Source organism: Homo sapiens, chromosome 11 (assembly GCF_000001405.40).
Source record: "Homo sapiens chromosome 11, GRCh38.p14 Primary Assembly".
NCBI lineage: Eukaryota > Metazoa > Chordata > Mammalia > Primates > Hominidae > Homo > Homo sapiens.
The window spans coordinates 2,492,799-2,509,233 of NC_000011.10; the positions used below are offsets into that span (position 1 = coordinate 2,492,799).

Genomic DNA, 16,435 nt, shown 5'->3' on the forward strand with positions numbered 1-16,435 from the left:
TGGTGCAGTAAACATATGTGTGCATGTGTCTTTATAGTAGAATGATTTATAATCCTTTGGGTATATACCCAGTAATGGGATTGCTGGGTCAAATGGTATTTCTAGTTCTAGAATCTAGTTCTAGAATCACCACGCTGTCTTCCACAATGGTTGAACTAATTTACACTCCCACCAACAGTGTAAAAGCGTTCCTATTTCTCCACATCCTCTCCAGCATCTGTTGTTTCCTGATTTTTTAGTGATCGCCATTCTAACTGGCATGAGATGGTATCTCCTTGTGGTTTTGATTTGCATTTCTCTGATGACCAGTAATGATTAGCTTTTTTTTCCATATGTTTCTTGGCCACATAAATGTCTTCTTTTGAGAAGTATCTGTTCGTATCCTTTACCCACTTTTTGATGGGGTTGTTTTTTTCTTGTAAATTTAAGTTCCTTGTAGATTTTGGATATTAGACCTTGTCAGATGGATAGATTGCAAATATTTTCTCCCATTCTGTAGGTTGCCTATTCACTCTGATGCTAGCTTCTTTTACTGTGCAGAAGCTCTTTAGTTTAATTAGATCCCATTTGTCAATTTTGGCTTTTGTTGCAATTGCTCTTGGTGTTTTAGTCATGAAGTCCTTGCCCATGCCTATGTCCTGAATGGTATTGCCTGGGTATTCTTCTAGGGTTTCCGTGGTTTTAGGTTTTACATTTAAGTCTTTAATCATCTTGAGTTAATTTTTATATAAGTTGTAAGGAAGGGGTCCAGTTTCTGTTTTCTGCATATGACTAGCCAGTTTTCCCAGCACCATTTATTAAATAGAGAATCCTTTCCGCATTGCTTTTTTGTCAGGTTGGTCAAAGATCAGATGATTTTAGGTGAGTGGTGTTATTTCTGAGGTCTCTGTTCTGTTCCATTGGTTTATATATCTGTCTTCATACCAGTACCATGCTGTTTTCGTTACTATAGCCTTGTAGTATAGTTTGAAGTCAGGTAGTGTGATGCCTCCAGCTTTGTTCTTTTTACTTAGGATTGTCTTGGCTATATGGGCTCTTTTTTGGTTCCATATGAAATTTAAAGTAGTTTTTTCTAATTCTGTGAAGAAAGTCAATGATAGCTTGATGGGAATAGCATTGAATCTATAAATTACTTTGGGCAGTATGGCCATTTTCATGATACTGATTATTCCTATCCATGAGCATGGAATTTTTTTTCCATTTGTTTGTGTCCTTTCCTTTCCTTCAGCAGTGGTTTGTTGTTCTCCTTGAAGAGGTCCTTCACATCCCTTGTAAGTTGTATTCCTAGGTATTTTCTTCTCTTTGTAGCAATTATGAATGGGGATTCACTCATGATTTGGCTCTCTGCTTGTCTATTTTTGGTGTATAGGAATGCTTGTGAATTTTGCACATTGATTTTGTATCCCAAGACTTTGCTGAAGTTGGCTATCAGCTTAAGGAGTTTTTGGGCTGAGACAATGGGGTTTTCTAAATATACAATCATGTCATCTGCAAACAGAGAAAATTTGACTTCCTCTTTTCCTATTTGAATACTCTTTATTTTTTCGCTTGCCTTATTGTCCTGGCCAGAACTTCCAATACTATGTTGAATGGGAGTGGTGAGAGAGGGCATCCTTGTCTTGTGCTGGTTTTCAAAGTGAATGCTTCCAGCTTTTGCCCGTTCAGTATGATATTGCCTGTGGGTTTGTCATAAATAGCTCTTGTTATTTTGAGATATGTTCCATCAATTCCTAGTTTATTGAGAGTTTTTGGCATGAAGGGATGTTGAATTTTGTCAAAGGCTTTTTCTGCATCTATTGAGATAATCATGTGGTTTTTGTCATTGGTTCTGTTTATGTGATGTTTAGTGATTTACATATGTTGAATCAGCCTTGCATCCCAGGGATGAAGCCCACTTGATCACCATGGATAAGCTTTTTGATGTGCTGCTGGATTCAGTTTGCCAGTATTTTATTGAAGATTTTTGCATCGGTGCTCATCAGGGATATTGGCCTGAAGTTTTCTTTTTTTGTGTGTCGCTGCCAAATTTTGGTATCAGGATGATGCTGGCCTCATAAAATGAGTTAGGGAGGGGTCCCTCTTTTTCTACTGTTTGGAATAGTTTCAGAAGGAATGGTACCAGCTCCTCTTTGTGCCTCTGGTAGAATTTGGGTGTGAATCCGTCTGGTCCTGGGCTTTTTTTGGTTGGCAGGCTATTAATTACTGCCTCAATTTCAGAACTTGTTGTTGGTCTATTCAGGGATTCGACTTTTTCCTGGTTTAGTCTTGGAGGGTGTATGTGTCCAGGAATTTATCCATTTTTTCTAGATTTTCTAGTTTATTTGCATGGAGGTGTTTTTAGTATTCTCTGATGGTAGTTTGTATTTCTGTGGGATCAGTGGTGATATCCCCTTTATCATTTTTTATTGCATCTATTTGATTCTTCTCTCTTTTCTTCTTTGTTAGTCTGGCTGGCAGTCTATTTTGTTAATCTTTTCAAAAAACCAGCTCCTGGATTCATTGATTTTTTTGGAAGGGTTTTTCATGTCTCTATCTCCTTCAGTTCTGCTCTGATCTTAGTTATTTCTTGTCTTCTGCTAGCTTTTGAATTTGTTTGCTCTTGCTTCTCTAGTTCTTTTAATTGTGATGTTTGGGTGTCGATTTCAGATCTCTCTAGCTTTCTGATATGGGCATTTAGTGCTATAAATTTGCCTCTAAACACTGCTTTAGCTGTGTCCCAGAAATTCTGGTACGTTGTCTCTTTGTTTTCATTTGTTTCAAAGAATTTCTTTATTTCTGCCTTGATTTTGTTATTTACTCAGTAGTCATTCAGTAGCAGGTTGTTCAATTTCCATGTATCTGTGTGGTTTTTAGTGAGTTTCTTCATCCTGAGTTCTAATTTGATCGTACTGTGTTCTGAGAGACTGTTTGTTATGATTTCCATTCTTTGGCATTTGCTGAGGAGTGTTTTACTTCCAGTTATGTGGTCAATTTTAGAATAAGTGCTATGTGATGCTGAGAACAATGTACATTCTCTTGATTTGGGGTGGAAAGTTCTGTAGATGTCTATTAGGTCCGCTTGGTCCAGAGCTGAGTTCAAGTCCTGAATATCCTTGTTAATTTTCTGTCTCATTGATCTGTCTAATATTGACAGTGGAGTGTTAAAGTCTCGCACTGTTATTGAGTAGGAATATAAGTCTCTTTGTAGGTCTCTAAGAACTTGTTTTATGAATCTAGGTGCTCCTGTATTGGGTGCATTTATTTAGGATAGTTAGCTCTTCTTGTTGCATTGATCCCTTTACCATTATGTAATGCTCTTCTTTGTCTTTTTTTATCTTTCTTAGTTTGAAGTCTGTTTTATCAAAGGCTAGGATCTTGGCCGGGTGCAGTGGCTCATGCCTGTAATCCCAGCACTTTGGGAGGCTGAGGTGGTTGGATCACGAGATCAGGAGATCGAGACCATCCTGGCTAACACGATGAAACCCCATCTCTACTAAAAATACAAAAAAATTAGTCAGGCATGGTGGCGGGCACCTGTAGTCCCAGCTACTCGGCAGGCTGAGGCAGGAGAATGGCGTGAACCCGGGAGGTGGAGCTTGCAGCGAGCCAAGATAGCGCCACTGCAGTCTGGCCTGGGCAAAAGAGTGAGACTCCATCTCAGAAAAAATAAAAAATAAAAAATAAAATTAAAAAAAATGGCTAGGATCACAACCCCTGCTTTTTTTTTTTTTTTTTTTTTTTTTGCTTTCCATTGCTTGGTAAATATTCCTCCATCCCTTTATTTTGAGCATATGTGTGTCTTTGCACATGAGATGGATCTCCTGAATAAAGCACACTGATGGGCCTTAACTCTTTATCCAGTTTGCCAGTCTGTGTCTTTTAATTGGGGCATTTAGCCCATTTACATTTAACGTTAACATTGTTATGTGTGAATTTGGTCCTGTCGTCATGATGCTAGCTGGTTATTCTGCACATTAGTTGATGCAGTTTCTTCATAGTGTCATTGGTCTTTATATTTTGGTGTGGTTTTGCAGTGGCTGATACTGCTTTTTCCTTTCCATGTTTAGTGCTTCCTTCAGGAGCTCTTGTAAGGCAAGCCTCAGCATTTGCTTGTTTGGAAAGGATTTTATTTATCCTTTACTCATGAAGCTTAGTTTGGCTGGATATGAAATTCTGCTTGAAAATTCTTTTCTTTATGAATGTTGAATATTGGCTCCCACTCTCTTCTGGCTTGTAGGGTTTCTGCAGAGAGATTTGCTGTTAGTCTGATGCACTTCTCTTTGTAGGTAACCTGACCTTTCTCTCTGGCTGCCCTTAACGTTTTGTCCTTCATTTAAACCTTGGAGAATCTGACAATTATATGTCTTGGGGTTGCTCTTCTTGAGGAGTATCTTAGTGGTGTTCTCTGTATTTCCTGAATTTGAATGCTAGCCTGTCTTGCTAGGTTGGGGAAGTTCTCCTGGATAATATCCTGAAGTGTGTTTTCCAACTTGGTTCCATTCTCCCCGTCACTTTCAGGTACAGCAATCAATTGTAGGTTTGGTCTTTTCATATAGTCCCATATTTCTTGGAGGTTTTGTTCGTTCTTTTTCATCATTTTTTCTCTAATCTTGTCTGCATGCCTTATTTCGTTAAGTTGATCTTCAATCTCTGATATCCTTTCTTCCACTTGATTCATTTGGCTATTGATACTTGTGTATGCATCACAAAGTTCTCATGCTGTGTTTTTCAGCTCCATGAGGTCATTTATGTTCCTCTCTAAACTGGTTATTCTAGTTAGCAGTTCCTGTAACCTTTTATCAGGTTCTTAGCTTCCTTGCATTGGGTTAGAACATGCTTCTCTAGCTCAGAGGAATTTGTTATTACCCACCTTCTGAAGCCTACTTCTGTCAATTCGTCAGTCTCATTCTCCGTCCAGTTTTGTGCCCTTGCTGGAGAGGAGATGTGATCATTTGGAGGAGAAGAGGCATTCTGGTTTTTAGAATGTTCAGCATTTTTGTGCTGGTTTTTCCTCATCTTTGTGGATTTATCTGCCTTTGCTCTTTGAGGCTGATGACCTTTGGATGGGGTTTTTGTGTGGGGGGTCCCTTTTGTTGATGTTGATTTTGTTGCTTTCTGTTTGCTAGCTTTTCTTCTAAGAGTCAAGCCTGCAGTCCTGCAGGTCTGCTGCAGTTTGCTGGAGGTCCACTCCAGACCCTGTTTGCCTGGGTATCACCAGTGGAGGCTGCAGAACAGCAAAGATTGCTGCCTACTCCTTCCTCTGGAAGCTTTGTCCCAGAAGGGCACCAGCCTGATGCCAACCAGAGCTCTCCTGTTTGAGGTGTCTGTTGACCCCTGTTGGGAGGTCTTGCCTGCTCAGGAGGCATGGGGCTCAGGGACCCACTTGAGGAGGCAGTCTGTCCCTTAGCAGAGCTCATGCACTGTGCTGCGAGAATCCCCCTTGTCAGGATCAGCTGCTCTCTTCAGAGCCAGCAGGCAGGAGAGTTCAAGTCTGCTGAAGCTGTGCCCACAGCCACCCCTTCTCCAGGTGCTCTGTCCCAGGGAAATGGGAGTTTTATCTATAATCCCCTGACTGGGGCTGCTGCCTTTCTTTCAGAGATGCCCTGCCCAGTGAGGAGGAATCTAGAGAAGCAGTCTGGCCTCAGCTGCTTTGCTGTGCTTTGGTGAATTCTGCCCAGTCCAAGCCTCCCAGCCTCCTTAGCACTATCAGGGGAAAACCGCCTACTAAAGCCTCAGTAATACCAAATGCCCCTCCCGCCACCAAGCTTGAGCATCCCAGGTCAACTTCAGACTGCTGTGCTGGCAGTGAGAATTTGAAGCCAGTGGTTCTTAGCTTGCTGGGCTCCATGGGAGTGGGACCCACTGAGTGAGACCACTTGGCTTCCTGGCCTCAGCCCCCTTTCCAGGGGAGTAAATGATTCTGTCTTGCTGGGGTTCCAGGCACCACTGGGGTACAGAAAAAACTCCTGCAGCTAGTTCAATGTCTGTCCAAACAGCAACTCAGTTTTGTGCTTGAAACCCAGGGCCCTGGTGGTATAGGCACATGAAGGAGTCTCCTGATCTGCAGATTGCAAAACCCATGGGAAAAGCATAGTATCCAGGCCGGGTATCACAGTCCCGGGTATCACAGATGACGGGTTGATGGGTGCAGCAACTGCATGCAAACTGCATGTTTGCAGTTCCCTCGGCTGGGGGAGGGAGGTCTCCCGGCTCCTTGCACTTCCCAGGTGAGGCGATGCCCCACCTGCTTCTGTGTGCCCTCCGTGGGCTGCACCCACTGCCTAATCAGTCCCAATGAGATGAACTTGGTACCTCAGTCAGAAATGCAGAAATCACCCAGTGTTGATCTCACTGACAGCTACAGACTGGAGCTCTTCCTATTCTGCCATCTTGCCAGATGTAAAGTGTAGAATTTTTGATTTTGTTTTTTTGCTTGTTTATGCAATTAGTGTTAAGTCATCATCAGTTTAAAATAATGAGTTGTAAGATATTTTCAAGCCTCATGGTAACCTCAGATCTAAAACATATGGCAGACACACAAATAAAAAGCAAGAAATTAAAGCATGCCACTAGAGAAAATCACCTTCACTAAAAGGAAGACAGAAGGGAAGTAACAAAGGAAGAGAATATCTTCACCAGAAAACAAATAATAAAATGGCAAGAGTGAGTCCTTACGTATCAATAATAATATTAAATGTAAATGGGCTAACCTTGCCAATCAAAAGACAGAGTGGTTGAATGGACCCCTGCCCCCACAAAAAAAGACCCAATTATCTGTTGCTTACAAGAAACACATTTCAACCTATAAAAATACACATAGACTGAAAATTAAGGGCTTGAAAAAAGATATTCCGTGCCAATAGAAACCAGAAAAGATCAGGAGTAGCTATACTTGTATTAGGCAAAGTAGAGTTCAAGATAATAACTATAAGAAGAGACAAAGAAGGTCATTACATCATGATAAAGGGATCAATTCAGCAAGACGATATAACAATTTCAAAGAAACATCTAACTTAATCTGCACTGTAGACCAAATATACCTAATAGATATTTACAGGACATTTCATCCAGCAATTCCAAGAGAAGAATACACATTCTCCTCAGCACATAGCTCATTCTCAAGGATAGACCATATGTTAGATCACAAAACAAGTCTTGAAACATTCTAAAAAATTGAAATACTATCAAGCATCTTCTCTGACCAGTACAGAATAAAACTAGAAGTTAATAATGAGACATTTTGGAAACTATACAGACATACACATAGTAATTAAACAATATGCTCCTGAATGACCAGAGGGTCAAGGAAGAAATTAAGAAGGAAATTGAAAATTTTATTGAAATAAATTACAATGGAAACACAACTTACCAAAACCTGTGGGATTTGTTTGTGTCTTTTTTACTTCCTTGAGCAGTGGTTTGTAGTTCTCCTTGAAGATATGAACAGACACTTCTCAAAAAAAAGACATTTATGCAGCCAAAAAACATATGAAAATGTGCTCATCATCACTGGTCATTAGAGAAATGCAAATCAAAACCACAATGAGATACCATCTCACACCAGTTAGAATGGCGATCATTAAAAAATCAGGAAACAACAGATGCTGGAGAGGATGTGGAGAAATAGGAACGCTTTTACACTGTTGGTGGGAGTGTAAATTAGTTCAACCATTGTGGAAGACAGTGTGGCAATTCCTCAAGGATCTAGAACCCAAATACCATTTGACCCAGTGATCCCATTACTGGGTATATACCCAAAGGATTATAAATCATTGTATTATAAAGACACATGCACACATATGTTTATTGCACCACTATTCACAATAGCAAAGACTTGGAACCAACCCAAATGCCCATCAATGATAGGCTGGATAAAGAAAATGTGGCACATATACACTGTGAAGTACTATGCAGCCATAAAAAAAGATGAGTTTATGTTCTTTTCAGGGACACGGATGAAGCTGGAAACCATCATTCTCAGCAAACTAACACAAGAACAGAAAACCAAACACCACATGTTCTCACTCATAAGCGGGAGTTGAACAAGGAGAACACATGGACACAGGGAGGGGAACATCACACACCGGGGTCTGTTGGGGGGTGGGGGCAAGGGGAGGGAGGGAATTAGGAGAAATACCTAATGTAGATGACGGGTTGATGGGTGCAGCAAACCACCATGGCACGTGTATGCCTATGTAACAAAACTGCATGTTCTGCACATGTACCCCAGAACTTATAAAAATCCTGTGGGATACAGCAAAAGCAGTATTAAGAGGGAAGTTTCTAGTTAAAAGCACCTGCATCAATAAAGAGAAAAACTTCAAGTAAACAACCTAATGATCTTAAAGAACAAGAAAAGCAAGAGTAAGTCAACCTAAAATTAGTAGAAGAAATAATAAAGCTTAGAGCAGAAATACATGAAATTGAAGTGAAGAAAACAAGACAAAAGATCAACAAAATAAAAAGTTGGTTTTTTTTTTAAAAGATAAAATTGACAAACCTTTAGCCAGACTAAGAAAAGAAGAGGGAAGATCCAAGTAACTAAAGTCAGAGACAAAAAAAGGAGACATTACAACTGATACCACAGAAATTCAAAGGATAATTAGTGGCTGCTATGAGCAACTCTATGCCAATAAATTGGAAAATCTGGAAGAAATGGATACATTCCTAGACATGTGCAACCTACCAAGATTGAACCAGGAAGAAATGCAAACCTGAACAGACCACTAAGCAGTAATGAGATTGAACCTGTAATTTAAAAATCTTCCAACAAAGAAAACCCTGAGACTTGATGGCCTCACTGCTAAATTCTGCCAAAGATTTCAAGAACTAATACTAATCCTTCTGAAACTATTATGAAAAATAGAGGAGGAGGGAATACCTCCAAACTCATCTACAAGGCCCGTATTACCCTGTTACCAAAACCAGACAAAGATACATCAAAAAAAAAAAAAAAAAAAAAAAAAAAAAGGAACCACGGGCCAATATCCCTGATAAATATTGATGCAAAAATCCTCAACAAAATACTAGCAAAGCAAATTCAGCAACACCTTAAAAAAGATCACTCTTCATGACCAAGTGGGAGTTATCCCAGGAATGCAAGGATAGTTCAACATATGCAAATCACTTTATGTGATACATCGTATCAACAGAATGAAGGACAAAACCACATGAGCATTTCAATTGATGCTGAAAAAGCACTTGATAAAATTCCACATCCCTTCAACATAAAAACTGTCAAAAACCTAGGTATAGAAGGAACATACCTCAACATAATAAAAGCCATATATGACAGACCCACAGCTAGTAACATACTGAATGGGGAAAAACTGAAGGCCTTTCCTCTAAGACCTGGAACATGACAAAGATGCCCACTTTCATCACTGTTATTTAACACAGTAGTGGAAATCCTAGCTAGAGCAATCAGACAAGAGAAGAAAATAAAGGGCATCCAAGTTGGAAAGAAAGAAGTCAAATTATCCTTGTTTGCAGATGATGTGGTCTTATATTTGGAAAAATCTAAAGACCCCACAAAAAAACTATTAGAACTGATAAATTCAGTAAAGTTGCAGGATACAAAGTCAACATACAAAAATCAGTAGCATTTCTATATGCCAACAGTGAACAATCTGAAAAACAAATCAAGAAAGTAATCCCATTTAAAATAGCTACAAATAAAATACCTAGGAATAAACTTAACCAAAGAAGTGAGAGATCTCTACAATGAAAATTATAATACACTGATGCAAGAAATTGAAGAGGACCCAAAAATGGTAAGATATTTCATGTTCATGGACTGGAAGAATCAATATTGTTAAAATGTCTGTATTGTCTAAAGCAATCTACAGATTCAGTGCACCCCCTATCACAATACCAATGACATTCTTCACAGAAATAGTAAAAACACTCCTCAAACTTATATGGAATCACTAAAGTCCCAGAATAGTCAAAGCTATCCTGAGCAAAAGAACAAAACTGGAGGGAGCACATTACCTGAGTTCAAATTATACTACAGAGTCATAGTAACCAAAACAGTATGTACTGACATAAAAACAGACACGTAGACCAATGGAACAGAATAGAAAACCCAGCAAACAAATCCATATGTCTACGACAAACTCATTTTTGACAAAGGTGCCAAGAACATGCATTGGGAAATGGACAGTCTCTTCAATAAACGATGCTGGGAAAACTGGATGTCCATATGCAGAAGAATGAAACTAGACCCCTATCTCTCACCATATAAAAAAAACAAATCAAAGTGAATTCAAGAATTAAATCTAAGACTTCAAACTATGAAACTACTAAAAAGACATTGGAGAAACTCTCCAGGACATTGGAGTGGGCAAAGACTGCTTGAGTAATCCCTACAAGCACAGGCAACCGAAGCAAAAATGGACAAATGGGATCACATCAAGTTAAAAAGCTTCTGCACAGCAAAGGAAACAATGAGACAGCCTGCAGAATGGGAGAAAATATTTGCAAAGTGCCCATCTGACAAGGGACTAATAACCAGAATATGTAAGGAGCTCAAACAACCGCACAAGGAAAACATCTAATAATCCAATTAAAAGATGGGCAAAAGACCTGAATAGACATTTCTCGAAAGAAGACAAATGGATGAAACTGGAAACCATCATTCTCAGCAAACTATCGCAAGGACAGAAAACCAAACACCGCATGTTCTCACTCATAGGTGGGAACTGAACAATGAGAACACATGGACACAGGAAGGGGAACATCACACACTGGGGACTGTTGTGGGGTTGGGGGGAGGGGGGAGGGATAGCATTAGGAGATATACCTAATGCTAAATGACGAGTTAATGGGTGCAGCACACCAACATGGCACATGTATACATATGTAACAAACCTGCACATTGTGCACATGTACCCTAAAACTTAAAGTATAATAATAATAAAAAAACAAATGACAAATAAATAAATGAAAAGGTACTCAACGTCACTGATCATCAGAGAAATGCAAATGAAAACTATAATGAGATATGACCCCACCCTGGTCAATATAGCTTTTATCCAAAAGATAGGCAATAATGGATGCTAGTGAGGATGTGGAGAAAAGGGAATCCTTGTACACTGTTGGTGGGAATGTAAGTTACTACAACCACCGTGGAGGACAGTTTCGAGGTTCCTCAAAACTAAAAATAGAGCTACCTCTGATCCAGCAGTCCCACTCTAGTTATATATCCAGAAGAAAGAAAATCAGTCCAGCAGAGAAGGATCCGCACTCCTGTGTTTATTGCAGCACTATTCACAATAGCCAAGATTTGGGAGCAAACTGAGTGTCCATCAACAGATGAATGGATAAAGAAAATGCTGTGTATACACGCAACGGTATACTAGTTAGCCATGAAAAAGAATGAGAACGTGTCATTTGCAACAACATGGATGGAACTGGAGGTCACTATATTAAGTGAAATAAGCCAGGCACAGAAAGACAAACTTTGCATGTTCTCACTTATTTGTGGGAGATAAAGATTAAAACAATTGAACTCGAGATAGAGTAAAAGGATGGTTACCAGAGGCTGGGAAGGGTAGTGGGGGTTGTGAGGGAAGTAGAGATGGTTAATGGAAACAAAAAAAAAATAGAAAAATGATTAAAACCTGGTATTTGATAGCACAACAGGGTGACTATAGTCAATGATTTAATTATACATTTAAAAATAACTAAAAGAGAGCTGGGCACAGTGGCTCACAGCTGTAATTTCAGCACTTTGGGAGGCCGAGTCATATGACTCACTTAAGGCCAGGAGTTCGAGGCCTGCCTGGCCAACATGGTGAAACCCCCTTCTCTACAAAAAACAGGAAAATTAGCTGGACTTGGTGGCATACACCTGTAATCCCAGCTACTTGGGTGGCCGAGGCATGAGAATCACTCGAACTCAGGAGGCGGAGGTTGCAGTGAGCTGAGATCGCGCCACTGCACTCCAGCCTGGGTAACAGAGTGAGACTGTCTCTAAATAAATAAGACGAAAAGAGTATAATGAGGTTGTTTGTAAGACAAGGGGTAAATGTTTGAGGTAGTAGATACCCCCATTTACCTCTATGTGATTATTATGTACTGTCTGTCTATGTTAGAATATCTCATGGACCCCATAAACCTATACACCTACTATGTACCCACAAAAAGCAAAAAGAAAAAGAGCTTATGGGTATCAATTTTTCTGTTAGTAACGCTTTTGTTGTGTCCCAGCAAGTTTTGGTACATTGTCTTCTCATCTTTATTTGCATTTAAGTATTTTCTAATTTCCCTTCTGATTTTTTTTTTTTTTAATTTAAGTCCCAGGACACATGTGCAGGACATGCAGGTTTGTTACGTAGGTAAATGTGTGCCACGGTGGTTTGCTGCACCTGTCAACCCATCACCTAGGTGTTAAGCCCTACATGCATTAACTATTTATTCTGATGCTCTCTCTCCCTCTGCCCCCCTTTTTCTTTGATTCATTGGTTAAGAGTATGTTGTTTCATTTCCATACATTTGTTAATTTTTCCATTTTACTTCTATTATTGATTTCTAAGCTTATCCCATTATCGTTGGAGAAGATCCTTTGTATGACTGGCATCTTTTTGAGTACTTTGAGACTTAATTCGTGGCCTGATCTCTCCTGGGAACATTTCCACGTGCACTTGGGATGCACATGCATGCTGTGGTCATGGGTCGAGTGTTCTCTGCATGTTGGTTAGATCTAGGTGGCTTATTGTGTTAAGTCCTCTATTCTGTAACTTATCTTCTGCCTGGTTGTTCTATTCATTATAGAGAATGTGGTACTGAAGTCTCTCACCATCATTGTAGAACTATTTCTCCCTTCGGTTCTGTAAATTTTTCCTTTGTGTCTTTTGATCGTTAGCTGTTAGAGGCATAAATGTTTATAATGGTTATCTGTAACATCTTCTTGCAGCCTCGAACCTTTAAGTGTGCAGCGTCCTCTTTTGTCTCTTGTGACCTTTCTAGGTTTATTATAAAACCATTTTTGGCTGATGTTAGTGTAGCCACTCTGCTTTTTGTGTTTGCCATTTGCATGGAACCTCTTTCTCCACTCTTTCCACCCTTTCACTTTCAATCTTTTTGTGTCTTTGGCTCTAACGCGAGTCTCTAGTAGACAGCATGTAGCTGGATCATGTTTATCTATTCTGCCACTGCCGATATCACCTTTTGATATACAGACTTTACATTTTCATAAAATTTAATTTGTCCACGTGCTTAGCCCCTGTGATCCAGCAATCCCACTGCTAGTTATATATCCAAAAAGAAAGAAAATCAGTCCAGCAGGGACAGATGCGCACTCCTACGTTTACTGCGGCACTGTTCACCGGAGCCTGTGCCTTCAATGTCGTATTCAAGAAATCATCCTCAAATCCAAAGTCTTTCTATTTTCTCCTATGTGTTCCTATTGCTTTAGGTCTTACATTTATACCTTTGACCCATATTGAGTTAATTTTTTATATCCAGCTTTATTCTTTTGCATGTAGATACTCAGTTATCCCACCATCATTTGTCGAAAAGACTATACGTGAACTTTTTGAATTTGCTTTTCTCACGTAATAGTATTTCCTAGAGACCACTACATATCAGTTCGTGGGGTCCTTCCATATTCTTTTTTACAGCCACCCCATACTTTATGGTTGGATGTGCCATGCTTATTCAAACCCTCTCCTATTTATGGGCATTTAGGTTGTTCTGATATTGTGCAATGATAAATAATGTTGCAAAGTATAGCCTTATACATATGTCTATTGTATTCTTGAAACAATGTTGCAAAGAATAACTTCGTAGGTATGGATGTTCCTATTGTTGGAGGTGTTATCTTCAGGGTAGATTCCTAGAAATGGGAGTGTTGGGCTGAAAGAGAAGCCCGTAGTTTTGTTGGATGTGACCAAATTTCCCTGCAGAACGGTTGCACATTTGCACTCCCCCAGCAATGCATGAGCATACCGGTTTTTTCTACAGTTGCGCCAGCAGCGTGCTGTCACACCACTTTTTGCCAGGTCCATAGCTTTGTTTTAATCTGTATTTCTGTAATTACATTGAATTTGAATGTTTTCCCTGTGTCTAAAAGTCATGTGTGTGTGTATTTGTAAATCGTCTGTCTTCTCATTTCCAACTTCTTCCATTGGGTTTTTGGTTCTTGGTCTCTCAATTTTTAAGTCATTTATATTGTGGGAACGTTTGTCTGGACTAATGTGAATTGTTTTCCCAGCTGGTCACTTGTCTTTGACTTTGCTTATGGTGCTTTTTGCTATGAGAAATTTCGCATGTTTATATCATCAAATTTATCATGCTTCTTTCTACTGACTCCGGATTCAGGGCCACAGTTGAGAGCTTTTTCCTCCACCGAGGTTAAGGGGAATCCACTGTGTTTTCTTCTGGAGGTTTGGGGTCTTGTCTTCAGCATTTAGCTCCTTGTCCGTTTGGAGTTTGCTCTTGTGCATGATCTAAGGTAATCTTTTCTCAGAGAGTGGCCTGAGACCTCTTCCTTAGAAGTTCACCCCACTGGCTGGGGCCTTCACGAGGCCCCTCTGGCCTCTAAGTGGAGCATGGAGTGTGGGGTCATCGGGCAGGACACGAGATGCGCAGGAGGCTGTGACTGAGGTGGCTGTGGGATGGGACGGCGTGGTTTGCTCTAGAGGGTTTGAAGGAAGGGTGAGAAGTCAGGACCACTGCTGTAGAAAACAGGGTTTGCAGGTAGATAAGGTGGCGGGTGCAGCGGGAGGAAGAGAAAAGGATGCTGCTGGGACCCCTCGCACCTGGGAGGATGCACTTTCTGTTTCTGACATGGGTCAGGGTTGGGGCGAAGGAGTCCAGCTGGGGACATGTTATTTTGGAGGTGTTTGTGAGGCAGCCAGGTGAGGTGGGTTGAAGGCAGTAAGACCTGCAGGTGGGAGCTCTGGGGAGAGAGTGCGGGCTGGGCTCACAAGTTAGGGGAGGTGTCAGTGTGTAAATGACATGAGCGCAGGGGCTAGACAGGGCCTCCTGTAGCCTGGGTGGGTGGAAGGGCAGAGGGCAAGGGCCAAGTGATGGCAGCTGTGGAGGCTGAGGGCAAGGAAGGCAAGTCCGGGAGGTTGGGTGTCCTGCAGCCTCCACAGGGGCAATGGAGGAAGAACAAAGGACTCTGTGTTGAGCCCTCCTGAGAGGTTTTGGAACTGGCCTTGACTTGGTGATGTGGGGTTATGAGTTTTATTCCACACACGTATGTGGGAGTCTGGGTCCTGGTGGGTCCCAGCCCCGTACATGGAGGCTGGGACCCTGCCCTGAAACCTCTCAGACACAAACACCCAGCTCGGCCCCACAGAGCTGGCCTGGGCCCCAGCAGGGGTCTGTGTTGCCTTGGCCCCACGGCAGTGGAGCTGGGGTTTCCCAGGGATGCTGCTGCTGAAGGTGAGGTTTGCAAACACTAGGCATGCATGTTTGAGGTACCACAACCTCCACCAACCCATGGTGGTCACCAAGGGTCTTTGGGCTCCTGTGGGGACCATACTGGCTTGTCTGACTTGCCGTTACCCGGCGGAGATATGTCTTGGAAAGACTTTAGGCCAGGAGCCCATCATTGTCCTGGAACCTGGGCTTGGCAGGGCAAGCTTTGGGGAGCACTGTCCAGACAGTGCCCTGGACACTGCACCTCAGGTCAGGACACAGCTCCCGAGGCCTGGCTGCTCTGCATGGGGAGGAGTGTGGGTCCTGAGTGGAGTGTCCCATCTGTCATGCAGAGAGGGTGATGATATAACCAGCTGGGTGTTCGCACCTGAGAGGTTTCGGGGCAGGGTCCCAGCCTCCATGTACGGGGCTGGGACCCACCAGGACCCAGACTCCCAGACTAGCAGGTGGGCTTCTCAGAGCACAGAGGGTGTGGGTGACCCAGATATCCTGTTGTTGCTCAGAGACCCCCAGGGAATCCTTGAAGATGGCAGTGACCACCTGGCTTCCTCTATAGAAACTCCCCGAATGGGAGGGATGGGAAAGACTGTTGAACTAAGCTTTTTAGGAAGAAAGCCATCAATTCCCCTGCTCTCATACAGGCTTGAGGAGGGCTAAGGAAAGTCACAGTTGAATGCATGCTCCCTCCACACCCATGTGCCTGATGCACACAGCCTGGCCCTTGTGGGCACTGGAGGGCACCCTACAGTCACAGAGGCAAACGAAGAATGTAGAGCTCCAGCTGGATGAGGGCCGTGGGGAAGGGGCACAGCCCTGGGCAAGGGTGTGCAGAGTCTGCATGGGATTTGACTGAGCAATCTGGAAGGCTTCCTGGAGGAGGAGCTATTGCTCAGGGTGAAATAGAGGTCTTGAAATTAGTACAACACATGCCCCATACTGGGGAATTTGGGGGTCCCTGGGGGAAGGACTCTGTTACCAAAAGCACACAGCACAGGTTGGGAGAGCAACTATCTCAAGGCTTTTATTTGCTGTTTCATGAAACTGAAAATTTAAGTTTTTAATA

At 41.7% G+C, this 16,435-nt stretch overlaps 1 protein-coding gene across 5 annotated transcripts in view; it reads left to right on the top strand.

Annotated features, from left to right (window-relative positions):
* The window catches only part of KCNQ1 (potassium voltage-gated channel subfamily Q member 1), a 404,098-nt gene that overhangs the window by 47,791 nt on the left and 339,872 nt on the right, over window positions 1–16,435 (top strand). The gene's annotated exons all lie outside the window — the stretch shown is intronic.